Here is a 27,135-nt window from a genome sequence, read left to right on the forward strand (position 1 = left end):
GTGGCGTGCACCTGTAGTCCCAGCTTCTTGGGAGGCTGAGGTGGGAGGATCCACTGAGCCCAGGAGTTTAAGGCTGCAGTGAGCTTGGATAACAACTGCACTCCAGCCTGGATGACAGAACAAGAATCTGTTTCAAAAAAGAAAAAAGAAAAAAAAACCTAAAAACTAAAAACTGGATGTAGTTTGCTAATAACTAAACAGCAAATTAATTGTAACATGCTTACATATCAACGATGTCTTTCTTCTTTAATCATAAACCTGCTAAGAAGCTGCTGAAGTCCATGGTAGTGACAGGTACATGTCTGCATCCTTGTCCTGACCTGCATCTTCTTCGATTGTCCCCATCTGTGTCTCCGACTGGCACTGCCAAACCGGCTTGCTACCTGATCAGTGTTGTACTGAACCGGACTGCTAACTGATCAATGTTGTTGAGCTCACTGCACAAAGCTGTTCTTACAAGGTAGATTTCTGCCTGGAATAGTCATACTTACACTGTTTATATTCCTTACTCCTGACCCATCCAACGCAGCACAAGTTCTATTTATTGCCATAGAAACATAGGTCATTTGGAAACACCTCCTTCATTTCTATGGAATATTCAAACATTTCTGACATTTTGGACTCTGTTCTAGCCTCTTGTTAAATATATCCAGAAAAGAGACAAAGCTTTATGGGGGGGCTATATGCACACATATGCTATAGAATAAGCTATCTAAATGCTTAAAAATACTTTCCATCTGGCACCGCACCTTAATAGGTAGACAGAAATTAAGACAGAAATTATACATATCTGTATAGATACGTATAAATATATATCCCCAAAACAAAAACTCATTCTCTTACTTATACATAGGTAGAATATAGGTGAATATACATATACATTTATAGGTAGAACAAAAAAACCCCTCAGCCTCTTTAGGGCCATGTGTTTTCTCTGAGTAATTGTCACAATTAATTAAAATACATGTGTATGCCTTTTTAGATAAATTCCATCAGACCAGTTTCTGTCTGGTTGGAAAATAATAACTGCCTATTTGCTAAGTGCCCCTGCCCCCATACTATGTTCCAGTGAACTAAAGACCTCTGGCAATCATAGATTTACAGCTCAGCAAGATTAAACAATTTATTGTTATTTATGACATCCAAGCTGGATCTTCCGTATTATATTCCACATTCGCATCTATCACTTTACATTTGGGAGATCCTGTCCAAAAAAAGATTATGCCTCCTAACCAAACATTCAGCAGGGCTGCAGGAACAGGCCCCCTGAACAAACATCCTGCCGAAGTACTTTAAAGCACCGTGAGCTCCCACAGCTGTGCATTTTCAGACGACTCAGCAGATTAACGTGGAGTCTCTTAGCCTCTGCTTGGTCTGTTCCTTTCAGTGATCTCTCACATGGCCCAGTCCATTCGGTTTGAAAATCCTCATGCAATGAGCAGATTAAGATCTGGCTTCAATAGAGGGCCATGGGGTGGGCATGGAGGGGAGAGGGTTTGCTCTTAACACAGCCTGAGCCTCAGAAAGGTTTCAGATGGAAAAGCAGGGCACTGACTCAGCTCATGCTTAACAGGAAATAATGCACAGACCACACCAAAAAAGCCCTTTATGTTGTGTGAAAGTCTATGCCGGAGCAGCTGCTGCCACCTCATGTACTGTGATAGAGTGTGCATGTGTGTGTTTGTGTGTGCATGAGTGTGAGTACGCACACAAATGTGTGCCGGGAGGGGGAGGAGCTCACACCTTCAACAGTCGCCACCTCAGCTTTAGCTAGCAGCATGGAGAAATGCCAAAAGTCAAGAGGAAGCTGCACCAAAGCAACTGTGATCACCACATCAGCAGGCGCTTTCTGGTTAGTAAAGCTACTGGGAAAAAAACACACACGATCTCGTCCTTCTTTTATTTTAATCAGAGCAAAATATTTTTATAATAATTGTGTTATATGAATAAATAATTCATAATGCTGTAACCCATGATCACATTCAATCCTCCCAACAACCCTAGAAGATATGTAGACAAGTATTATTACTTTCCCTATTTTTATAAATGAGGAAATAAACCCCAGGAGGCTAGGCGACTTCCCCACGGTCATATAAGTTGCAAACAGTAGTATCATGATTCAAATCCAAAGCTTCTCCTTTTGTCTTTATCATTTTAATTTTGAAGGTAATGCATATGCATGTATGATCTTCTCAATCCAGAGATGTATATGGAATAGATAGGAAAAGGGACTCTCCTTCCCCATTATACACCCCCTCCACCAAAGCTATATCCACTGTTGACTACAGTATGTCCTTTCAATCCTATTTTCTATGCCTACATTATATACAGAAAAGCAGGATTACGTTACACACAATATTCCAGTCATTGCTGTTTTTCACCAATAAGCTATCATTCACATCTTTTTCATACTACATATAAATTTATATCCTTTATTTTAGTGGTGTATATTGTGCGGTTGTGTCATAAATTATGTACCTGTTCTCTGTTGAACATATAGATTTTTTCTGAGTTTTTCCTTAGCAAAATGCTGCAGTGAGTACCCTTGTACATAGATGTTTGTACATTTGTTCTAGAAAAATCTACAGTAAAGATTCTTAGATTAAGAGATTCCCAGGTTATTAGAAAACTACTCTATTAATTTAGATATATACTTCCAAATTGCCTGACCAAAAAGTTATGTCAATTTAACTTCTATGAACAGTATACAAACATGACAATTTTCCATCACCTACACCAACTCTGGGTAATTTCATCTTTTTTACAAGTTGATGGATTGTTTTAATTTGTATTTCTCTGGTTATTAATAAGGTTGGCCACCTGTTCATGTGTTAGTATTGATGATATTTGTATTGAATTGTTTGAATTTTCTTGATTTGGAAAACCTTTTTACATGTCATAGACATTAAATATTTGTTGTAAAACTCTCCTTCCAGTATTTTGTATGTGTTTGGTCAAGTAGAATAAACTCTTGTCCTCTGATTTCAGATTCCTTTCTCTTTCCATTAGAAATCCCTAAATGTAAAACTACATATTGATAGCTAAAAACCAGGATGTTTACTAGAGAAAAAGAATACGAAGGCAATAATTAAATATTATATTTATACAAAATACCTACTAGTACAAACTTAAAAAGAGAAAGTAAAAGTCAAATGCTTCTACGACTTCAGACTAAGAAAAAGAACTTTTGAGGTTGAATGTTCCTGAAATTTTTCTTTTCATGCAACTACGGACATGACTTCAAAAGTTGATGTTACTAAAAATGTAAGATATGAAAGATATTTGAAGACTCAGAGAAGGTGGATTTTCATTTTAACAAGTCACATATATATTCTAGATATCCTCTTATTCGTAACTAAGAGAGTCAAATCAGATGAAAGAATCTAAAAATTTCCCTTTGACTGTGTTAAGTAGAAGTAGTAGAGGCATATTGGCCAAATCTTGAGTGTTTGCAAATTGACTCTTAAGGCTATAGGCTGGCACAGGTCATTGAAGCCCTAGCTTTTTATCTTTAATTTTAAAATCCCCAAACAATTTATACTAATTTTTCTTGTCCATTATTTCCAAATAATCTTGTTTAAATGTTATTACAGTGCTTGCTCATGTTACTGTTGTCTAACAGAAGGGTATCCAGGGCCTTAAAACTGAAAGGGTTAGGATTAATGATTCCAATACCTATGCTTGGACATCTCCAAAAGTGGGTACCAACTTCTTGTCCTCAAGTCTGTATAGAAACTAGCAAACTTCCAGAGTTCACAAAAGGCTCAAAGAGAACAGATGTTTTATAGAAAATTCTTAGAGCAAGTTTCACGCATAATGTTGCTGATGTGTGTCTGCCTTTTCAATAAACATCACTATGCTTTATCACAAGATTTAATAAAGCAGCTTAGTTAAAAATGCCATCTGGGTCTCTGGACACATTAAACAAAGCTTAAAATAACCACCCCAGCAACTGGGAGGACCCAGCTGTTCTCATAATCTGTCCCACTCCTTTTACTTCCCCATAAAAAGAGTGAATGAAGACCACAGACTAAAAGCATCCAGAATGAACTGACACAAACAGGGAGAGAGATGGAGCCAAGGGCTCCTGTAAGTTTGCTATTGCTCACATAATAGATTTGCTAATTCCACAACCTGGGGATGGTGATTCAGAAAGGGAAGCAGAAAGAGAGAAGAGAGAATCATAGAAGGGCTCATTCAAGTTTTCTAATGTATCACAAACCTGTCCTCCCTAATGTCTGGATCATAGCAGCCCATTCCATTCACCTATTCTGTAGTGAACGCCAGTAGAAAATACAAAGCCATCACCACCCAGTTCTTTCTCCCTTCTAGAGATGAGATATTAGCCACCCAATCCCAGATTCTCAGATCCATTCCAGGAAAGAAGCCCTAGGTATTGAAGCACAGCTTTCCCTCCCTCCCTTCTTTCTTCCACCCCAAGATTTGTTCCCCAGATAGTTCTAGTAAATGCAAAACCAAGTATATTCTCATTCTTTAGAGCAACCAGCTTTTCATGGCCAACTGGAATCAAATACAACCTGCACAAACATCTATCTGGAGGACACTCCCAAGGCTCCTACTGAGCCAGCCTTCTGCATACCACTGCATTTCAGCTTCCTAGTTCACAAGACACTGAGACATTCTTGAATTCTGCAAGGTGCACTGTGTGTTAATATCATTGCTGCTCATCATGTGGCCAATAAAGTGCATGACTAGTCAACAAATAAATTTTCTCTTGGCTAAAACTTGCAACAAAACTGTAAGCTGTTTACCAAGGGGCCCACTACAGGTTATATTCAATATATACAGTCAAATCATAATTATCTGAGATATATTCAGTTGACCATACACCTTTATATTTCAGTAAAAGGTCTTTACATTTCCCAGTGCTATCGATGTTACAAAGTGCTTTCATATGCAGTGCTTCATCTGATTTCCAGGATAATTAAATGATCCTGTCATACCTGATTTTTAGATGAGGAAACAAGTGGTTTCTGGGTATTTCAAGAGGCTAACGCATCTGCCCTCCAACTTGTATGTGAAAACCAAAAACAAAATTCCAAGGCCCCTCAACCATCTGAATGGACTTCGACTCTTTTGGTCAATATATGCCAGAGCTAGGAAAAGAAGGTGAGTCTTCCAGCTGCTGATACAGGGTTTTTTCTGCCATACTCCATTACCTCCAAGGCTAAAGTCAAAAGAGGGTGTGGTTATCACATGAAAAAATCTGGTTTGGATTTCCCAAATGTGTATGTAGTATTTGGTGATTTACCTTAATTTAACCTACAGTTCTTTTGGGTTGTAACAGTCTGACTCCATTTTTGAAAACAAAACAAAATCGATTTTAAATGCTGAATTATAGATCTTTGCTGTCCAGTATGGTAGCTACTAACCACTTATGGTTATTTGCATTTCTATTTTAATTAATTAAAATTAAGTAAAATGCAAAATTCAGTTCTTCAGTTGCTCTAGCCACATTTCAAGTGTTACAGTAGTCACATATGGCTAGTAGCTGGGACAATGCAGATTATAGAACAGTTCCATCATCAAAGAAACTTCTATTGAACAGTGCTATTATATAATGTCATCTCCAGAGAAAGAAGACTTTAGAAAAAGTCAGAAACGGCCGGGCGCAGTGGCTCACACGTGTAATCCCAGCACTTTGGGAGGCCAAGGCAGGCAGATCCCTTGAGGTCAGGAGTTCAAGACCAGCCTGGCCGACATGGTGAAACCCCGTCTCTAGTAAAAATACAAAAAATTAGCTAGGCGTGGTGGTGCATGCCTGTAACCCCAGCTACTCAGGAGGCTGAGTTGGGAGAATCACTGGAACCCAGGAGGCAGAAGTTGTAGTGAGCCAAGATTGCGCCACTGCACTCTAGCCTGGGTGACAGAGCAAGACTCCATCTCAAAAAAAAAGAAAAAAGAAAAAGAAAAAGTCAGAAACATCTTGAGGCAGGCATAGTGCTGTCATCTGTCCAATATTGAAGATGATTTAAGAATAAGAAAGAAGAAGAGAACAAAGAAGAGAAAAAGAAGTTGCCTTAGGTGTACCCACCCAGAAAAGGACAAAGGCATTCTTGTAGTCATTGTGTTGTATTTTAGCTCTTAAACTTTTTAAGAGATTAGAATAATTTGACACATAGAAGATCTAAACCACTGAAGAGGCTCTGAAGCAGATAAAAGTAGAAAGAAAATTAAAAACTAATTAGTTACAAACTAAGCTTAACCACAATTCATTTAAACGATACTATTTACTCTTCACATGATTGGTTTTTCTTTTGCTTTATAGTATGACATAGTTTATATCTTTAAAGGGGAATTAAAATATTTCTGGGAATTTTTAAAGGTAAGTTCACATAGCCACATAAAAACTACAGAAACAGATAAAACCTATCTTCTCATTTATTCCCTAATCCATTCAAATTAAATATAAAAATCCAAGCAGCCACAGTGATATTCAAAAAAGCAAAAGTGAGACAAAACAAAATTCATTTGTCACCTGTGGAGGTAGTTAACTCACCTAATCTTCACTCCAAACACCAGTAATTTTTAAAAGACAGAAATAAACATATGTTCTGCCTTCCCGGAAGGAACTATGTTTCAGGGTAGCCAAATAACCCAGTTGTGAAGAAAATGGTCTGCTTATAGAAAAATGCCAGCTAAAACATGTAGATAGAATTAGAGAATTAGAAATTCACCATTTTGAAACCCCTAATGAAATAATCAACTCAAGCAAGGATCATTAATAAATGCTAAAACAATCAAGTAAATATTGATACAGAATATAACTGAATATACACATGGTACAAAGTTCACGTCACAGACTACTGGCTTGACCCAAGGGGGAATATAACAGAGGAGATAGGCAGTGATCGCCCTAACCTTGCGATCATCTCACCATCACTGATGATGGGATGTGAATACACATTATTGCCTATGAAATAGTCTTTAAAAAAAGAAGTTGAACCTGAATCTAACTAAACCTTGCAATGGGCTGAACGTGTATGTCTTCCCAAAATTAATATGTTGACATCCTAACCCCAAAGGTGCTGGTATTAAAAGGTGGGGCCTTTAGGGGGTCATTAGATCATAAGGACAGAGCCCTCATGATTGGAATTAGTGCCCTTATAAAAGAGGCCCCAGAGAGCTAACTAGTCTCTCCCACTATGTGAGGGCCCAGCAAGAAGGCCAATCTATGAACCAGAAAGTTGGTCCTAACCAGATATCAAAACCGCATGCTCCTTGATCTTAAACTTGCTAGTCTCTAGAACTGTGAGAAATAAATTTCTGTTCTTTATAAGTCATCCAGTTTTTGGTATTTTGTTATACCAGGCCTAAAAGCCTTTAGAACTAACTTCCAGTTAACCAGGAAAAAACAGAGTGAAAAGTTAAATGACACCATAAAAAGCAACCAGAAAATTCCAGAAGGGGAAATATTCTACAGGACCACTGACTAGTTTTTCAACAAGTCAATTTCATTAAATAAATACATAAACAAAGAGTGAGGGTATTTTCCAGGTTAAAAAAGTCTTGAGCTAAATAATCAAATGCAATGTGTGTCCCTTGATTAGAAGAAACTAATTTGAACAAACCAGCCACAAAAGATATTTCAGGGAGACCAAGCTGGAAGGATCACTTGAGGCCAGGAGTTTGAGACCAGCCTGGGCAACGTAGTAAGACCTCCATCTCTACAAAAACAATAAATTAGCTGGGCATGGTGGTGTGCACCTATAGTCCTAGCTACTCAGGAAGCTGAGGCAGGAAGATCACTTGAGCCCAGGAGTTTGAGGCTGCAATGAGCTATGATTGTTTCACTGCACTTCAGGCTGTGTGAAAGAGCAAGACTTTGTCTCAAAAAATAAAAGGACATTTCATAATAATTGAGGAAATCTGAATGTGGACTGGGTAATAAATGATATAAAAAAACTATTTTTTATTTTGTTTGAAAAGATGATTTTGTAACCATACAGGAAAATGTTCTTATTTTTTAGAAATCTGCACTAAAGAATTTAGGGGTAAAATATCATTTTCTTTAATATACTTTCAAACACAAGCAAAAAATAATCATGACACAAATATAGCAAAATGTTTACAATCTATGTTCTATGTTTGCCTATGAGTGCCATTAATCTCATCTCTCTGCTTTTCTGAAAGTTTGAAAATTTCAAAGTTTTATAATAAATTTTTTTACATCCCATAATTTTATAATAAATTTTTTAAAGTTTGAAGCAAATCAACAACTATAGCTTCAAAAATATCCTGACCCACAATAAACATTGAACAGGGTATATTTCTCCCATTTCCTAAAAAAGTTGGCCCAGGAAGGAGTATGAGAGCTGCCATAGCTCTCCCAAGGCTCATTATTCTCCATCACTCCATGGGAAATCCCAAAATAAATTTTTAAAAAAGTTGTTTAAATTTATAGTGTTTTTGATTCTATAATAATTTTATAATGTTTTTGATTTTATATTTTTAATTTATAAAAATTTTTATACATGTTTATGTTTGAAATGTCTATTTCAAACTTTATGAGATATTAAAATATAAGTAATATAGTTCATCATTTTAGAAATGCCACGCTTTTCTTCTCCAGCAATTACATAATCAAAGAGTAACTAGTTTTTCCTAGAACATTGCTTTGTAGGCTGGGCATGGTGGTTCATGACACTTTAGGAGGCCAAGGCAGGCAGATCTCTTGAGATCAGGAGTTTGAGACTAGACTGGGCAACACAGAGAAACCCTATGAGTAGTAAAAACACAAAAATCAGCTGTGCGTAGTGGCGTGCACCTATAGCCCCAGCTACTCAGGAGGCTGAGGTGGGAAGATCACCTGAATCTGGGGAGGTCAAGGCTACAGTGAGCCAAGACTGTGCCATTGCACTCCAGCCTGGGCAACAAAGTGAGACCCTGTCTCAAAAAAAAAAAATGAAATTTAATTTAAAAAAAGAAAATTGCTTTGTAAAATTAACTTTTTCAATCAAAACCAAGATTTTTCAGATATAGAGAATGCAGCCCACTGGTCAGATTTGTCAGTTCAAAGAGAATAAATTCTAGTTTCCTATTTTTCTAGCCTGCTTATGATTATCCAATAGGATATCAAAAAAGACCAAAGCCTTTGGGATCCAAGTTCAGTATTCCTGAGTCTAACTCAGGATGCCAAATCAGGAGACAAGCACATTCTCATCAATTTTCAATCATTCGAGACCAATTTTGCTTATAATTATCCAGTTCTTTTAGACCACCTTTCTCCTGAAGCCAGCCTTATGGCTATTCACTTCACTTTAGCATAAGCCCCCAAGAAGGTGAACAAAATGAGGAAAAGATTGGTTAAAGTTGGCTGTTTGAAATTCTGAAACATGTCCACCATTCCCTTCACCCATGCCCACCCCTCTTAGAAGTAGTACTTTCAGATTATTTAAGAGTCGATGCTTCTATGTGGATTTTAATTTGTCATCTGTCCTTTATAACAGCTAGTAGGTTTAATTTGACTCTATTTTAAGCATATATTGACCTATGCTAATTATCTGTTAAAATAAATTCCACTCTTAGAGTTAATAAAGTGTGTTTGTCATGGAAGACCCATTGAAGTAAGAAGCTGAGGAGCCCTTATGGTAAAGTGGGACAAGAAATAATAAGACATAATAATTTTCCCATGCAAATCAACAACCGTAGCTTCAAAAATATCCTGACCCACAACAAGTATTGGACAGGCCATGTTTCTCTCACTCCCTAAAAAATTGGCTCGGGAAGGAGTATGAGAGCTCCCATAGCTTTCCCAAGGCTCATTATTCTCCATCACTCCACAGGAACAGCCTGTCAGAGAAGAGTGAAAGACCATTTGTCAACCTCTCTTCAACTCCCTGATTCTAGCCAAACTTCATCAATCCCAACTGAGGAGCCAGAGAGAAATCAAACCCCATATATCCAGCATCATTGTCTACTGGAGTCAAAAATCACAATTCCACTACCCACCCCAACACCACTGGCCCTGTTTCTCCCAATTGCTTTTTATTGTGTTTTTAAAAAATCCTCTTTCCCCATCCCTGCAACACCGAGAAGGAGGAATTATAGTAGATAAATATGAAGCATGGAGATCCTTTAAAAATGTTTTTAATAATAAATGAGAAAATGAAAAGGAGAGGGTTGGGAAGGAAGGAGGGAATTCAAATGCCAGGGAATTGTTCAGTTTCGCTTTTAAAGATGTTAACACTCATTTATACATCTGCAAGACACTCCCCTTAAAGAAAAGTTCTATGAGTGTGGGTCTGGTTGCATGAATAAGGATAAAATTACTTTTTTAGACGATGTTTCCCACATACAATTCAGAGACCCCTGAAATTAGGTATCCCTCTTGTAGATGTCCTTGAGATGCTGCTGGACCTGGGAAAGAGGAAACTGGGATATGGGTCTATGCCAAAAGGTGCTTCTAGTTATAGGACAGAGAGGAAAGGGGCAGAGGGAGAAAAACCCGAAGTCTGAGAATCTGGATTGCAGAAGACTACCGAGGTCGTGGGAGAAGGGAGAGAAAACAAGGATGAAAACCGAAAGGGGAAGAGGCATGAAATGTTGCCAAATGTCAAAAGGCATTTGGAGAGAAGTTGGGAATTGCATTAAGAAAACCACTGCAAATCTCATTTCAGACCATTTAGAGATATGCCCCCTGGGAACTGCGAGCTCAGGCTGTTTAGCATCAAACAAATGGATCCACTCCATCCCTACCCTAATTAAATAAATCATTCAGTAATTCCACTGGGTTAAAGAACCAAAATATTAAAAACCTTCAGGGCCTACTCTTGCCAAATATGTCAGGGATCGTGTGTGTGTGTGTGTGTGTGTGTGTGTGTGTGTGTGTGTGTGTGTGTGTTCTGAGACACCACTACTGTTAAATAGGCAGAGCTAAGACTTAGGGGACTGGCAGATTATTGCAAAAGGGCACGGGGCAGAGGGACTATGTTGTGAGCCTGCGAAAGAAGTTTGTGTGGGGACTGTGGGCAGTGAACGCGTTGGGAACAATATGGAAAACTGGGAGCCGCCTTGGAATCTACAGGGCCGGGTAAGAGAATGTCCGAAAGAAAAATGAGCAGGTGCGGGATGTGGCAGAGTCGGAGAAGAGTCCAGGGCGCCCGGAGTGGCTCCAGGAAGGACGGAAACCCCTGAGGGCTTTTGGGGGCGGTGGGTACTAATAGAACCCAGTGTCCGGGGTGCGCCGGGGAGGCTGCGAGCGCGGCGGGAGTGGGGCGCTGGAGGGTGAGGACGCGGGAGTGCGGGAGCAAAGCCGGGCAGGGGCCTCCCAGCTGGGCCCGGAGGCAGCAGGCGGACAAGGGCCAGGAGAGGGCGCGGCGGCGGCGCGGCGGGAAGCGAGGGGCATCCGGACACTCGCCCCGTTGGCCGCGGCCATCGGCCCCACGACCTCGACGGCCGTCCTGCCGAAGAACCTGCCGTCGCTGCCCGCCCCCGTGGTGCGGCCCTGACGGTCGCGCAGGCCGACGGACGACAGCGCGCTCCGGATGAAGTTGGGCGGGTAGCTGCGCTGGCCCTGGAAGAGGCCGGTGGGTCGCCGGTGCTCGCGGGGCGCGGTGGGCACTGTCCGCACCGGGATGGGGCTCCCCTCCGCGGCGCCTCCCGGCCGGTCCTGCTGCGGCTCCGGGGCCGGAGGGAATCCGCAGCCGGCCGGGGGCCTCCGCCAGCCTGGCTGCGCGCCGGGACTCCGCCTCGCGCCCGGCCCCCTCTCCAGCAGGTCGGCGCCCCGCGCCCTGCACCCGCCCGCCCGGGGACCGCCCGCCCCTCCTCTCCGCGCCGCCGCTCGCTGACTCCCCCGGCAGGGATTGCTTCTGCCTCGCTGCCAGGTTTTCTCCCGCCCACCTTCTCCGCTGCCAGACCGCCCGAGCTGCCCTCAGTTTCTCCCCAAGTGGGACTCACTGTCGGGGTGTCCCACAAGCCCGATCCCAGAGCCTGCTGGCCCGACCCCGGCGACGCCTCCACCCGCGCTCGCCGCCCTCCGGGGCGCACCCTCCGCCAGAAAACAGCCGGCGGGCGGCGAGACTTCGTGCAGAGTGCGGGCTCCTCTCCGGCGCCAGGCCCGTCCCGTCTCCCTGGGAGTGCGCAGCCTACACGCACCAGTTTCTCTTTAGAACAAGGACGGGGAGGGATTTGCGAGGGGGCTGAAACCTTTTGCCATCAGCGAACAGCCTCAGCCAAAAACAACCCTGGAAAGGCGAGCTAAGAATGGTTATCTCCTGCCAGCGCTGAAATCGGAGGCCGGGCGCTGCGTGTGTGTGTGTGTGTGTGTGTGTGCGTGTGTGTGTGTGTGTGTGTGTGTGTGTGTACCCTCCCACCCCGACCATTTGTTGAAGGGAATCACCACTGTCAGACTTCAATCCAACAGGACCCACTCGAGCCATCCACACTTGCCCCAGCCTCCTCCAAAACAGCACACTTTCCGGTATGGACAATTCTTTTTTTTTTTTTTCACTTATTTGTTTGTTGTGGTGGTAGCAACAGCAGCAACACAGACGACACGTATTTCCCTATTCTTCTCGCCCTTCTCACCCTCCCTACCCAGCTCCTGCCTTAGAAACAGGCTTGGCCTACACTGTATCTGTCCACACTGTCTGAACTCTTCCCTGAATTAATCGTTTTCAGTAGGAGGGGGCTGAATCCCTTATTAATGCCCTACCAGGAGTGAATGAATAAAGCCAAGTTAAAGGAGAACTGGGTACCAGATACTGTGCTAGGTTCGTTTGCATGTACCCTTTCATTCTGCTGGAGCTAAAGATTTTCTGCCTCCTCTCCATAAAACGCACCCAAACTCCAAAACCAGGAAATTCTCCATAGAAAATAGGAGTGAAGAGAGAAAAGACTAACAGGATAAAACTCAAAGCAGGAAGAAAGTTCTATCTCCCATTTCTCTCAAGGAATTTTTGGACCCACCAAGGCTACTGTCCTGAAATATCCTGCTGCTTCTCCTTCCCCAAATATTGTCCACTTCCTGAGAGTAAGGCTGACTTGCCGCAGGCTTATAAAGTGTTTGGTCACAGTAAGACAACTGTGAGTAATAACACACATTGTATACTGTTTTGCAATTGATAAAAGGCTTTGCATCTGTTTTTCCTTTGGAGGCTGAAGAAAAGAAGAATGGTATTCACGCAGTTCCCATTTTACAGATGAAAACAAGAGGACTTTTTCTGTGAAGTCAAGAAAGTGGTTACAATGGTACTTTCAGCCTGTCCGAATTATGTATTGCCCCTCCCCTTTTTATTAATAACATTGAAGTGTGATGGGACAACCACTGAAGCCGTCAGTTGAAACCTGCTGGGACTTTTTAGCCATTCTCTTCAACATAAAGAATGGGTGTTTTTGGAGGGGGTGAGAGGAATGGGGAAATGTTGTCAAAGAGTACAACGTTTTAGTTGAGACAGGAAGAATATATTTTGTTGAGATCTACAGCACAGCATGGTGACTGTAGTTAACAATGAAGTATTGTCTATTTCCAAATTGCTAAGACAATAAATTTCAAATGTTCTCACCACAAAAAAGATAGGTTTTGAGGTGATGAATCTATTAATTCTCTGGATTTAATTATTCCACAATGTATACATATATCATAATATCACATTATACCTCCGTAAATACATACAATTTTAATTTGTCAATTAACATTTTTTTAATAGAATAGTGTGGCCAGTCGGGGAGGTAGTGTTGTTTTTTTTTTTTTCCTCTAGTCTCTACTCAGTCTCCAAGATCCCATTCCCCATAAAGTTCCTGTCACCCAGGTGGAGTGCAGTGGCACAATCATGGCTCACTGCACCCTCTCCCTCTTGGGCTCAAGCGATCCTCCCGCCTACAGGTACATGCCACCACGCCCAGCTAGTTTTTGTAGTTTTTGTAGACATGGGGTTTCACCATGTTGCCTAGGCTGGTCTCGAACTCCTCAGCTCAATCAATCTGCCCACTTTAGCCTCCCACAGTGCTGGGATTGCAGGTGTGAGCCACCAAGCCCAACCCATAAAGTTCCTAACTTTTTATCTCCCTGGGAGTGCACAGCCTACACACACCAGTTTCTCTTTAGAACATACTTAAGAGTCTTGGCTTAGCATCCAACAGACAAAACTTTAACACTTCTAGGGATCTGTGCACCTGTCTATGGCGTGGGGTTTTTAAGATCTCTTTCTAATGACACTTCATTTTACAAAGCAGGACAGTTTCATTCCCAGAAGAGCAGGTATGGTAAATCCTTTGTTCCAGTAACGAAGGCAATGATCCAAACCCTAAGCCTCAGAGAAGCCCAGAAACCCTCCAGGCCTCCATCTCTCTGCTCCTAGCACCTGCCTCTCTCTTGACATCAACATCATTCTCCCCTCTCACAGCCCAGCTCCTTCCACAGACCCAGGGATTAGGCACCAGCACCTCAGACTAGATTTTAGAGAATTACCATTCAAGAGGCAATCCTCTTCCCTTGGTTCCAATTTCAAGGTTCTCAAAGACTGGAACAGGGCTAGTTTGAGGCAATGTGCCCCACCGCATAGCCAGAAAGAACCTTACAGTGAAAAGGAAAACAATTCTTCAAAAGTAAGGGGGTGCTGATCCCCAGAGGGAGGACAGATGGGCAACCAAACAGTAACCGGGCCACCACGTGCTTCACACTCACTGATCAAGGATTTCTAAAACCACTTTTCTTTTCTCTGAATTTATATAGGACTTTGTATCACTCATAAAGGAATGTCTTATAGGCTGATAACACCTTTCTATTCATGCTTATACTTAACATTTAGGCTAGGATAATTTCCTAACCTCAGTGTCCTCACTATAAGATGGGAATTATTATAATCCCTACCTCATAAATTGTTGGGAGGATTAAAATACTTAGTAAAGTGCCTGACTAATAGAAAGGCATTCAATAAATGTTAGCTATTCATGGTGTCGTCATCATTATATTTACCATTATTACTAATCTCCTGTATTGCAAGAATTACAGTTTATATTTTCGTAGACCATCACTGTAGCTAAAGGGTCTTTGGGCCATAGGTGATATTCCATAAAGGTTGGTTAAATTGATCTGTGGTTTTTGACTATGGAAACTCAGAACTCCCTCAAAATGTACAAAACAGATTTACCTGCTAAATAAATCTCTTCAAAGCTGACCCCAGGTTTAATTGAATTAATTCCAATGAATTTGTCACAATGATGGAGAAAGGAAACTTAGAGGGCCCCACAGTTGTTTGCTGGTAAAATGAGAAGTTTGGATTAGATCAATGTTTCCCAAAACATTTTCCTCAGAATGTTAGTGCTCCTTGAATCCTGCACAAAGCAAGAGTTTCATGACCAAGTAGCTTTTAAAACTCCTGTACACTCTACTCCCATTCTTCACAATGCACACTTTCATATTAAAAGTTCTGAGAGATCCTCAACAAAAGACATCACTTAACTTTTTTTTTTTTTTTAAGACAGATTCTCACTCTGTCACCCAGGCTGGAGTACAGTGGCCACCACTCCTGGCCTAAAAATTTTTTAACCTGGTGCTTCCCAATCTAAACTCACAGGGACCAGTTTTCTTAATGAAAGAGAATCAGACTAGCTTGTAACCATAGCTGGTGACCCTCCCCTGCCCCATTCCTTGTATGTCCTCAGTGGACTAGGTCAGGAATAAATAAATTTTCCTGATTCTCAAGGGCTGGTCACTCCTTTGCACTGAGCTCAAAGCTTCTCTGTAGCATGGGTCACAATGAATGGTAGCCCTGATAGCCTAGAGTAGCCTTTCAGCCTTCTCTGAGCCTCTAAAGACTGAGGATCCTTGGCATGAAATAGGAGCAACTGATATACCCTTGCTTCCCCTGGGGACTCTCTTGCTCTCAAAAAGGCATCAGCCATCATCTCCATCTAGAGAATATACTAGCTGACTCAGCTTGACCAGCCTGTCCCAAAATGAGAATCTGGGTAAAATAAGTATTGAAACACTTCATTCCTTGTAGATTCACAAAACACATTAGCATATTAAAGACTATGAAGTTCTGCAGGAAAAAAAACCTATTTAACTTTAATCCAACATTGCCAAGTTTTATTTGACCATGGAAGATTTTTCCAAAACACTTACAAACAGATCAAGGACATTAATCTTTCATGAAACACTTTAGATCCCCAGGGTCCTCTCCAGCTACATCATTCTGTGATTTTCTTTTTTATTTATGATGCATTAAAAGATTAATCTCTATCAGACTTCCATTTAGAAATTCACCAGAATGTGCAAAGGCAGCAGGTAAAATTGCCGAAGGGTATTATAAAAATACCCTCCGGTGATTTTTGAAACTTAAACTGAAATATTTATTTAACTATATATTTCAGTTTGTATATTATATATATATGTATATACACACATATATATGTGTATATATATATTTGTGTATGTATATCTATGTATATATGGCATTATATCCATTTTACAGATGCAGAAACTGAGCTTTAGAGGGGGTGAGCAATTGGTCCAAAGCCACACAGCACACAGGTAGTCATTGATAAAGGTAAAAACAAGAGTTGAAACCTGAGGTGTAAGGACACAGAGACAAGTACACAAATGTTTACAAGTTACAGATATGACAAGTGCCTTTAACATGAATTTCTGGAACATTCATTTAGAGGCCTTACCATGAAGACATCAGAGTGGCAGCAAGTTCTGTTGGAATCAGGGGAGCGTGTTCTTCTATAATCCCCTGGCTGACAGGAAGGCACGCTGATTTGGCCCATGGTAGTTATACACTCCCATTGAGTCAGGGGCCACTTCTATGCACACAGGAGGTGCTAAAAATATGCTGTTGACTCATTGCCTCTAAGAGCAGAAGAAATGCCAAAAGTATAGGACAAGAGGCAGAAAAGCACACAGAAAAATGTCGTAGGGCAGTCCTCTAAGGAAGTGTTAGATCCCTTTGAAATCTGTCCAAACACTTTCTTGTGCTGGGGAAAGTCAATTACATATTTCAAGCAACCCCACATGTCATACGAGTATCTTGTACATGTTTGCGTACTCGTGTCTGTGAACTTACATCTCAGACTTCAACTTCTCGCTTCCCACCCTTATCAATGACTGCCTGCATGGCCTTGGGCAAGTTGCTTTCCCTCTTCAAAGCTCAGTTTCTGCATCTATAAAATGGACATAATGCTACCTACCTCATGGGGTTAGTGATCACATTTAAGGAGCTAATATGTGGAAATTGCTTAAACAGTACCTGTCACATAATAAGGGTTTAATAAGTGTTTGATGTAATTGTTTTGATTATCACTACTATTACTAAAATAATAATTACTACAATAATAATGATTCTTATTCTCTATATTAGTATTATCTTTGAAAATGGGCACGGATTATGTCTATGTAACACTTTTGGCACAATATCTAGCATTATATCACACACAAATTAGAGAATTCATGTTATTAAGCATGAAAAAATATTTTTACTGACCCTTAAATTCTTCGTAAGTAACTGCAAAAGAAGCCATTATCCCAACACATGAAATAAAAAAAAAATTCATTTCCTCTGGAGTTTGTTTTTGGAGGTAGCCACAGGATACCTAAATTTTTTTTTCTTTTCAGAGAGACCGAGGGGCTCACTAGGTTGACCAGGCTGGTCTTGAACTCCTGGCCTCAAGCCATCCTCCCACCTCAGCCTCCCAAAGTGCTGGGATTACATGCATGAGCCACCACATCCAGCCTACCTAAAATATTGAATGCTGTTAATAAATCTCCTGAGGCCAGCATAAGAAGGTGATGGGCAAAACTAATGCAGGTATGTTTTTCTGGCTTTTTCATGTATTGGGCCAAACTTTGAAAAGCACTTACTATTAATGGCTAACTTGCAAAATTTGTGATTTATTAAAAGCAGATTTTAATTGTTTTACCTAAAAATAATAGGCCTCTGATCTGCCAAAGATGAAGATTTAATTTCTAGGTATTCCCCACAATACCTAGAAACATCAGTGTAATCGATTATTAAACACTTTAGAACTATTCTCATCAAAGTTCTTTATTATATAATACAGCAAAAGAAAAGTTTCTTTTCTAAAGGCTTCTCTATACTTTTTTTAATAGTTGAATTTCATCTCTGAAGGCTCCTAAAAAGAATAGAATTTAGATCTTTATTAAAGAGGAAATATATTTTCCATGTTTAATTTAAATTACATTCCATCAGTCATTTGCAATCTTAGCCTACACGGAATTTTTTTTTTTTTTTGGTAGTTTTTATGTTTGGGCTTTAGGAGGGGATTCCCAATAATCTCTATATAAATATTTCTAATCTCCATATAAATATTTTAACATTTCAATGTAAATTAGTTTTTTAAAGCTATTTTATCCATAAAAATAATGAATTTGCATGGCTGAGGATGAAATAATGTGTTATCAGGACCCCTCTGTTTTGGGGGTTGTGAGTAGATCCCATCTTCATGTTCCTCCAGCCCAGCCCAAGCCTGGCTCAGGTCCTCCTCCCCCATTTGTCAGGAACCACCATCCCCAGGGATTCTATGTGCCCTGCCTGACCAGTGTTCTCCATCAGAGTTTACCAATCTTTTGTTCATTCCCTCAGAGCACAGGTAAGCAAGAGTACACTAATTTGAAAATTAACTCAAGCAAATAGAGGAACAATATCCCCAACACATTGCATTTTAACATAGGGTTTCCTGGACACACTGTTTCAACCCAAGAGTTGGGCTAATAGTAGGAGTTCCATCTGCTAAAATACGGCTGTCAGCTTCAGAGGGAAATTCATGAATGTCTTCGTAGTTTGTTTTTACGTTTCACTTGGCACTGTTTCTAAAATTTCCTCTGAAGCCAAAAAATAAGTTATTTCCCAGCACACTGGTCACTTTTCATTTATCATTGGATTGATTTTTGTAACTTGCAGTAGGAGCTGAAATCGACCAGGGGGTTCTTATCCAACAGACAGCAGCAAAACTCTTTGTGTATCTGCGTTCCTTTCAACAAGTGTGACTTCCTCCATGGCATCATTCGTGAGCGTAACACAGAGCTCAGCAATAACGTTTCTTCACTAACCCTACCAGGTATCCAACATAGGATGTTACTTCCTTTCACTGTTTTCCGACTCCTGGCAGATATTAATCATTGGGATTTGGGAACAAGGAAATAGAATTTCTGAGAATGCTTGGGAATTCCCAAATTCATATGATTTTCATAACACTTCACTTACAAGTTTTTGAAAAATAATAAGTGACTATAATAACAAGCAAATAGTCATTTTTTTCTGTAACAGGATTACATGAAAAGTTTTAGTAGTCTTCTGTTTTAAAAAGATATGATAACAAATGATGATTTATTATTATTATGAGCCAACATATTGTAACAAGATTATAAAATCCAATAGCATTAATAGAGAAAACATTAAAAAGAAATGAATATTATCACAAAATAAATGCTAAAGAAAAGTCCTTTAAAGACTGAAAGGTAACACCACAAATACTTAATGCTTTAATCATTGTTTACATGACATTGTTAAACAAGGCATCAATCATCCCCTCCAATACCATCTAAATAACATAACATTCTGATCTCCTGGCAAGATGAATAGCACTAGAAAGAAGCAACTGTCAAAATTGCCGATTTAAGGGCATATTTTGTCTCTAAAACTTGGCATTTCTTAGAACACCTCTCATAGGATTTGTAAAACATATACTATGCCTATGAACACATTAATATTTATTTGCAGAAATGGTTCACTGTTAGCAGTGGACAAGGCCATGAACACACACTTGTAACACAGCAACAGATACAAGAAAGTCTGACTGAGGCTCCTTTACTGCTCCTGTCCTGTTCACCTTAACTTTCGTCTCCACATGTCAGTGCTTCCTCATCTTGCTTGACTTGAAGTCAGTGCATTTCTTCAAGCCAGTAAGTTCTCTATACTGACTATTAAGCTGTAATTTTCACAGGAAAATTAGAATGTTCCTTCCCATTTTCCTAATTTCTCAACTGATTTTTCTCAGAATTCAGAATCCATAAATATTGAAATGCCAGGAGAGAATTTCCAAATGGAAATGCTATTCCCTTCATCCATTTTCAGAAGAAACTGTAGCGTAGTGTTATCCTTCTCTTCTCCAATTTTTTTTTCCTGCAAACTTATGGTTATCACCTCTTTAAGTGCGTAGCTCACAATTTTGCCTCCCCTGCAAATGGTCCCAAAACAGTGAAGTGGGTCCTCTTTAGCTGTGTCTTTAGTACATAATCCTGCATTTCTGACCATATGCAGGGAGTGTGACCCAGTGAAGGATCCCTGACTCAATGGGATTTCTCTTGCTGTCTCTAGAATTTGAACCCCGGAACCCAGACGTACAGAGGCTGGGAGCCATTGTGGTGTGCTATATTGATGACGGCAGCAGTGGGTGGTGTGGGGGCAGTTAATTGACAGCTACCTGTTGCTGACATCCCAGGAACTGCCTGAACCTCCTCTTTCCCAGTCATAAGATATCTAAGATTCTGCAGTATTCTTCATTAAATCCTAGCATGGTTTAAGCTAGCCAGAATTAGGTTCTGTTGCTTTCAATCAACAGAACCTTAGCTAATACATTGTTATTTCCTGGTCTTTGTTCCTTTAATTTTCCAGGAAAAGAAGGGAAAATGGCTTACTGGTTTTAAAAAGAGACAAGGGACAACATACCATTTATGCAAAATTTAGAAGCACTCAAAGGAAACTCTGGAAAGCTCCTGAGACATATATAGGTAGGATCAGCATAAAACTTGAACAGTGTATCTAGATCATGGTTGCCATGGTTGCCTTGACACAATGAACATCTGTATCAAGATCATATTTTCTTGGTGGGACAGAGAAAAGCACAAGGCGGGACTCACATTTACAGTAATCCTTGTTTTCCAGGGACCATACAACCCAGTTTGTCTAGAGCTGTTCATCTTAAGTTTGTTATCCCACCATAATTATAAATAGAACCTCCTTTTTCTCTCAAGAATATCCCACTTTGGATGATAATTTCTGTGACTACCCATTAAGAATATTTAATAACTATAGAAAACTGCTTCTCTATATTTTTTGTATGTTTGAAACATTTTATAACAAAAATATCTTTAAAGTTATCACCTACACAGAATATAGCTGCCAAATGCTCCTACTCTGCTATTCTTTTTTTTTTTTTTTTTTTTTTTTATTGATCATTCTTGGGTGTTTCTTGCAGAGGGGGATTTGGCAGGGTCATAGGACAATAGTGGAGGGAAGGTCAGCAGATAAACAAGTGAACCAAGGTCTCTGGTTTTCCTAGGCAGAGGACCCAGCGGCCTTCCGCAGTGTTTGTGTCCCTGGGTACTTGAGATTAGGGAGTGGTGATGACTCTTAACGAGCATGCTGCCTTCAAGCATCTGTTTAACGAAGCACATCTTGCACCGCCCTTAATCCATTTAACCCTGAGTGGACACAGCACATGTTTCAGGGAGCACAGGGTTGGGGGTAAGGTCACCGATCAACAGGATCCCAAGGCAGAAGAATTTTTCTTAGTACAGAACAAAATGAAAAGTCTCCCATGTCTACTTCTATCCACACAGACCCGGCAACCATCCGATTTCTCAATTTTTTCCCCACCTTCCCGCCTTTCTATTCCACAAAACCGCCATTGTCATCATGGCCCAACCCCAATGAGCCGCTGGGCACACCTCCCAGACGGGGTCGTGGCCGGGCAGAGGGGCTCCTCACCTCCCGGACGGGGCGGCTGCTGGGCGGAGACGCTCCTCACTTCCTATAGGGGGTGGCGGCCGGGCAGAGGCTGCAATCTCGGCACTTTGGGACGCCAAGGCAGGCGGCTGGGAGGTGCAGGTTGTAGCGAGCCGAGATCACACCACTGCACTCCAGCCTGGGCCCCATTGAGCACTGAGTGAACGAGACTCCGTCTGCAATCCCGGCACCTTGGGAGGCCGAGGCTGGCGGATCACTCGCGGTTAGGAGCTGGAGACCAGCCCGGCCAACACAGCAAAACCCCGTCTCCACCAAAAAAAAACGAAAACCAGTCAGGCGTGGCGGCGCGCGCCTGCAATCGCAGGCACTCGGCAGGCTGAGGCAGGAGAATCAGGCAGGGAGGTTGCAGTGAGCCGAGATGGCAGCAGTACCGTCCAGCTTTGGCTCGGCATCAGAGGGAGACCCCTACTCTGCTATTCTAACCATGAATCCCTCTGGGGCCCCTTCCTCCTACGGCGCTTGTGAGGATGAAATGAAATAAGCTCTATGAAGTGCCCAACAGTGACCAACACTGAATAAAATACAGCCACCATAGGTGGCCTTCCCTTATGTTCACCAAACTCCTGATAAGTTATTCGGTGATGTTTTAATCTTAATATTTTATGTAGATTATACATTCATCTGATTCAAAATGCAAAAGGTACAAAAGCGTATACAGTTAAAAGCTTCCCAACCCACTACCATTTATCTCCCTGGAGGCAACTGTTTCCAGATTTTTGAATATCCTTAAAGAATATCATATGTATGGAAAAGAAAGATTATATATTTATATGCATCTGTGTATGCATTTTCCTATGAGAGGCTCACAAAGTCTCCTTGAAGAGATATCATTATTACAAATACCCCTCAATTTACAATGGGGTTATATTCCAATAAACTTATGAAAATATTGTAAGCTGAAAATGCATTTAATACACTTAACCTACTAAACATCATAGCTTAGCTCGGCCTACCTTAAACACTCACATTAACCTACAGTTAGGCAAAATCATCTAACAGAAAGCCCATTTTATAATAAAGTGGGTTTTGAATATCTCATGTAATATAATGAATACTGTACTGAAAGTGGAAAACAGAATGGTTGTATGGGTACTCAAAGTACAGCTTCTGCTGAATGTGTATTGCTTTCAAACTATCTTAAAGTTGAAAAATCATAAGTCAAAATATTGTAAGTCAGGGATTGTTTGTACTTCCACTTTACATGATGAAATTGAGCCTTGAAAAGATTAAGTGACTCGCCCAAGGTCACACTGGCAGTTAAACAGTGAAACTTGGATCCAAATTGTTCAGTCAGTACATGTATTGTCTTGAAATCTGAAAAAGAGGAAGAGGAACTAAACTACTAAATTGAAGGAATATTTTAGGCATAGAAGAAGCAGATGCCTTCATGTCCAAGTGATTGTGAAAAGCCCACTTGCCCCAAAATATGTCTCCTGGTCATATGAAATTCCACCATTTCAGATTTTTACCTGGGGATTTAGAGTAATCTGCTGTTTTCCTAGAGCTCCCCTAAAATAGAAATAGAAATTTTGGAAGGCTAAATATATGCTAACATTGGAAAACTCATTTTCTCCCCTTCGTAAGGCAAGGTACTGAAGGAGGGGGCCCTACAGGCTGTGCAGGGACATCCTGGAGGCATGGGGAGAAGAAACTGAAAGGCAAGGTTGTATGGAACAAAGAATACCGATCTCAGGATTCTCTCTTGAACCTGCCCTAACTTTGTTCAAATAGACTTAGCCACTGACCTGCTGTCAAAAGACCGCAGCCAATCTGACTTGTTTTCAACATAATGATGAATATTGATTTGGTCCCTTCATCCAACATTCTCAGCTGGATCTTTTTTTGACCAAGGATATACATTACTAGGCGAGTACAGGCAGTTAATTCTTCCACAGGGGACTTTGGAGTTTCTGAGTTAACCAGAATCACCCACCTTAACATCTGCCAGTTTATACCCCAAGTCCTGACCAGTGCCCCCTACCTGCTATGCCTCATGTTTTCAATATAGCATAAGATCTGAAATGAAAGATGAAACATCATAGCCAATATCACAGAAATACAAAGGATCCTAAGAAACTCCTATGTATAATTACACACTAACCAATTGGATCATCTAGAAGAAATGGATAAATTCCCAGACACATAAAACCTACCAAGATTGACTCATGAAGAAATTAAAAAATCTGAACAGACTAATAGCAAGCAAGGAGGTTGAATCAGTAAGAAAATGTCTCCCATCAATGAAAAACCCAAAACCAGATGGCTTCCCAGATTAATTCTACCAAATATTTTAAGAAGAACTAATACCAGTCCTTCTCAAACTCTTCCAAAAAGCTGAAGTGGAGGGAATACTTCCAAACTCATCTTACAGGGCCAGCATTACCCTGATTCCAAAGCCAGACAAGAACACTACAAGAAAGGAAAATGACAGGCCAATATCCTTGATCTACATAGATGCAAAAATCCTCAACAAAATCCTAGCAAACCAAATTCAATAGCACATTGAAAGAATCATTCACCACGATCATGTCATGGTTCAACATAAGCAAATCAATACATATAATATACCATATTAGAAAAATAAAGGATAGAAACTATATGGCCATCTCAATAGATATAGAAAAAGCTTTTGACAAAATTCGAAACCCTTTCATGGTGAAAAAAAAACACCCAACAGATCACGTATTGAGGGACTGTATCCCAACAAAATAAAGGCCATATATGACAAACCCATAGCTAACACCATAATCAATGGTGAAAAGTTGAAACTTTTCCTCTACCATCAGGAACAAGACAAGGATGCCCACAGACACCACTTCTCAGGGTAATTAGGCAATAGAAAGAAATAAAAGGCATCCTAATAGGAAAGGAAGAAGTGAAATTGTCTCTACTGACAGCATGATCTTGTTATATATAGAAAACCCTACAAACTTCACTGAAAAAAGGTTAGAACTCAACACAAAGAAGGGAACAATAGACACTGGGGGGACTCCAAAGGTGGGAGGGAAGGATGGTGGGAGCAAGAGTTGAAAAACTGCCTATCGATTACTATGCTCACTGCTTGGGTGGTGGGATCATTAGAAGCCCAAACCTCAGCACCATGCAATATACCTGTGTAAGAAACCTGTACATCTACCCTCCTGACTCTAAAATGAAACATACAATATTTAGAAAACAAAAACAAATAAAATTTGAAAACTGTTAGAACTGAACTGATAGGTGAAATCAGTAAAGTTGTAGGATACAAAATCAACATATAGAGCCTTGAACACAGCAACATCCAGCTGTCTGACATGAAAGTCTCAGGGGCAAGAAAACCTCTATATGAACTCAGAAACAATGAGCTAAGTTGTGTTTATGTCTGAAAGGATGTTAAGAACTGCATTCATGTTACATCAGAGCCAACAGAAAGAACCAACAGGAAACCTGTACCCAACAAACAGAAATGACAAGATGAAGGGAAAGCAGAGGTAAGGGCTTACCTTAGAAAGGGCAAGTGATTAGCTCAATATGCAATACAATGTTTGCTCCTGAGCCAAAAATTTGTACAATAATTTGGATATTACTTGCACAACCAGAAAAATCAGCCACTCATTAGGAAAATGTGTTTCTGTATAAGTCTTAGGACTCAGCTATCTATAATAACATGAAAAGACAATATTTTCATCCAAAATGAGTATTTTTGTTTGTCTTGGCTTGTTATTCTAACGTCAACAGCCTCTAAATAAACTGTTGAAGTACATGATATAACCACCTCTTTCTCCATCTTTCCCATTGCTCCCATAGGGTTTCAGTTGTGCAATTTCACCATTAGCAAAGCTTTTTGCTGAAATCTGGCTTTTCAAAGGGAGAGTATCCAGAAACAGAAGATGCTGCTCTGAGAGGCTCTTCCTAATAGAACTGCTGCTTCAGTTTAGCTTGAAAAAGCCCACACCCAGTTCCTAATGACAAACATCTGAACACCGGGTCTTCCCACGAGCAAGACCATGCTATGCCTCCTGCTCGCTCTGTTCTATAAGCAACCCACAGATTGCTCCCTGTGAAGAGGAGCCTGCCAGGGGAGCAGCATTCCACCAGACCCTGATTTAGCAAGATATTTCCGTATCATTCCCCCAACCAGCTGGAAGTCCTCCACTGCTCTTGTGTAAAAATCTAACTCATCTCGCTGAATTTCCTGATTTAAAAGTCTAATTCATTTCACCAAAAGTGTGACAGAAGGAAACCAAGTACACCATCTCTCTCTTACCAAACCGAAGCTATTGCATGTGCATTCTGGGGGAAAAAATGGTCCAAATATGTTATGGAGGGGGTGCCAGCCCAGTGTCATCCTCTTACTATTGCCATAGGATCTTGGCTGATGGCATCAGAGGAAAAACAAGTTTATCGATTACTTTCAACCATTAAGCTCACTCCTCCATGAAAAATAAGTCACAAGTCCAATGTCTCTTATTAAAATAAGCACTGCAAAATACAAAGGAGTCACAGTTTTAAAATGGGACACACGTTCTCTAAGCGGTGAACCACGTTAGAGGTGCACTGTTTACATTGTATAAAGTCCCCTGGAGCCAGGGTTAGGAAGCGCATCTGTTCTTTGGTGTTCTGGGATGAAGGAGAAAGGAAAATGTGCTGCCAGAAGTGAGTGGGAAGGAGCCCATGAGATAAAGGAAGTAAATCCATTTGCTGATTGCAATAATAATGGTAATACACGAAGCTATACATACATACATACATACATACATGCATGCATGCATGCAAATTTTCACATTTTTTAAAAAAAAGAACTTAAGGCTTCCACACATGTAATCAGCCCTTATGAACTCTCCTGATTAGCTGCAAGGAAAATCTTCCTTTCTCCTTTTTCCTGCACCATCCTGGGCTCCCTTTTGACTTGTTTTTTTTTGTTTGTTTTTTTTTTAACTTATAAACGATCAGCTCATATTCTGAAGTTTGTAGTCCCCTCCCGCCCCCCCTCTCTATACCGCTCATTTACATTGGCAGCTGTCCTGCTGCTGGGCATCCTCAAACCCACCAGTTTCCCTTTTATGTGTGAGCAGACAAACATGATCATGCACTAGGCATCACTGTGCCACTCAAAATGCTTTTTTGTTTTTTTATTGCATCTGAGAGAAATCTCAAGGTTGCAAACCTGGAGTCAGAATTGTCTCCATGTGTCTCAATGGGAAGAGTATCGTGTGAAGAAATAAGTTGATTCTACTAATCAAAAGGATTTTTTTTTGATATCAGGTCATCCTCCGAATGAATTTATATTACCGAGTGGAGGGTCACATGAAGAAAATGGTCAAACAGCACCACCTACAGCAAGAGCTGAGAAGTGCAGCGGAGCCGGGCTGAGTCAGGAAAGAAAAGCAAGCTGGGGCCTGGCTCAGCGCTCTCCCCTCTG

At 40.7% G+C, this 27,135-nt stretch overlaps 1 protein-coding gene, 1 long non-coding RNA gene and 1 pseudogene across 4 annotated transcripts, besides 1 other annotated feature; 2 read left to right on the forward strand and 1 right to left on the reverse strand.

Annotated features, from left to right (window-relative positions):
- The first annotated feature begins 233 nt into the window (after positions 1–233).
- LOC124902106 (protein piccolo-like) lies at positions 234–13,535 on the forward strand. The gene is made up of 4 exons (XM_047424275.1): positions 234–395; positions 6,290–6,346; positions 11,276–12,442; positions 13,119–13,535. Exons 1-3 carry the CDS (start codon positions 234–236, stop codon positions 12,221–12,223), a joined length of 1,167 nt encoding a protein of 388 aa, XP_047280231.1. The 3' UTR covers positions 12,224–12,442; positions 13,119–13,535.
- Positions 10,927–27,063, forward strand: PGM5P3-AS1 (PGM5P3 antisense RNA 1). 3 transcript variants are annotated; one of them, NR_121190.1, is made up of 3 exons: positions 10,927–11,053; positions 17,582–17,774; positions 26,979–27,063. It is a non-coding gene; the product is annotated as a PGM5P3 antisense RNA 1 (long non-coding RNA). The 3 variants fall into 3 exon arrangements; NR_121188.1 differs by lacking the exons at positions 17,582–17,774; positions 26,979–27,063 and adding exons at positions 12,386–12,442; positions 13,119–13,535; NR_121189.1 differs by lacking the exons at positions 17,582–17,774; positions 26,979–27,063 and adding an exon at positions 13,119–13,535.
- PGM5P3 (phosphoglucomutase 5 pseudogene 3) lies at positions 11,381–12,037 on the reverse strand (annotated as a pseudogene).
- Positions 21,097–21,621: an enhancer, noted in NCBI's record as "NANOG hESC enhancer chr9:82860-83384 (GRCh37/hg19 assembly coordinates)". NCBI's record gives its function as "activates a minimal SCP1, AML or CMV promoter by ChIP-STARR-seq in primed H9 embryonic stem cells {active_cell/tissue: H9 hESC(primed)}" and the evidence as "EXISTENCE:reporter gene assay evidence [ECO:0000049][PMID:30033119]".
- Positions 27,064–27,135: the final 72 nt, after the last annotated feature.

This window comes from Homo sapiens, chromosome 9 (assembly GCF_000001405.40).
Source record: "Homo sapiens chromosome 9, GRCh38.p14 Primary Assembly".
In the NCBI taxonomy this organism is placed as follows: Eukaryota; Metazoa; Chordata; class Mammalia; order Primates; family Hominidae; genus Homo; species Homo sapiens.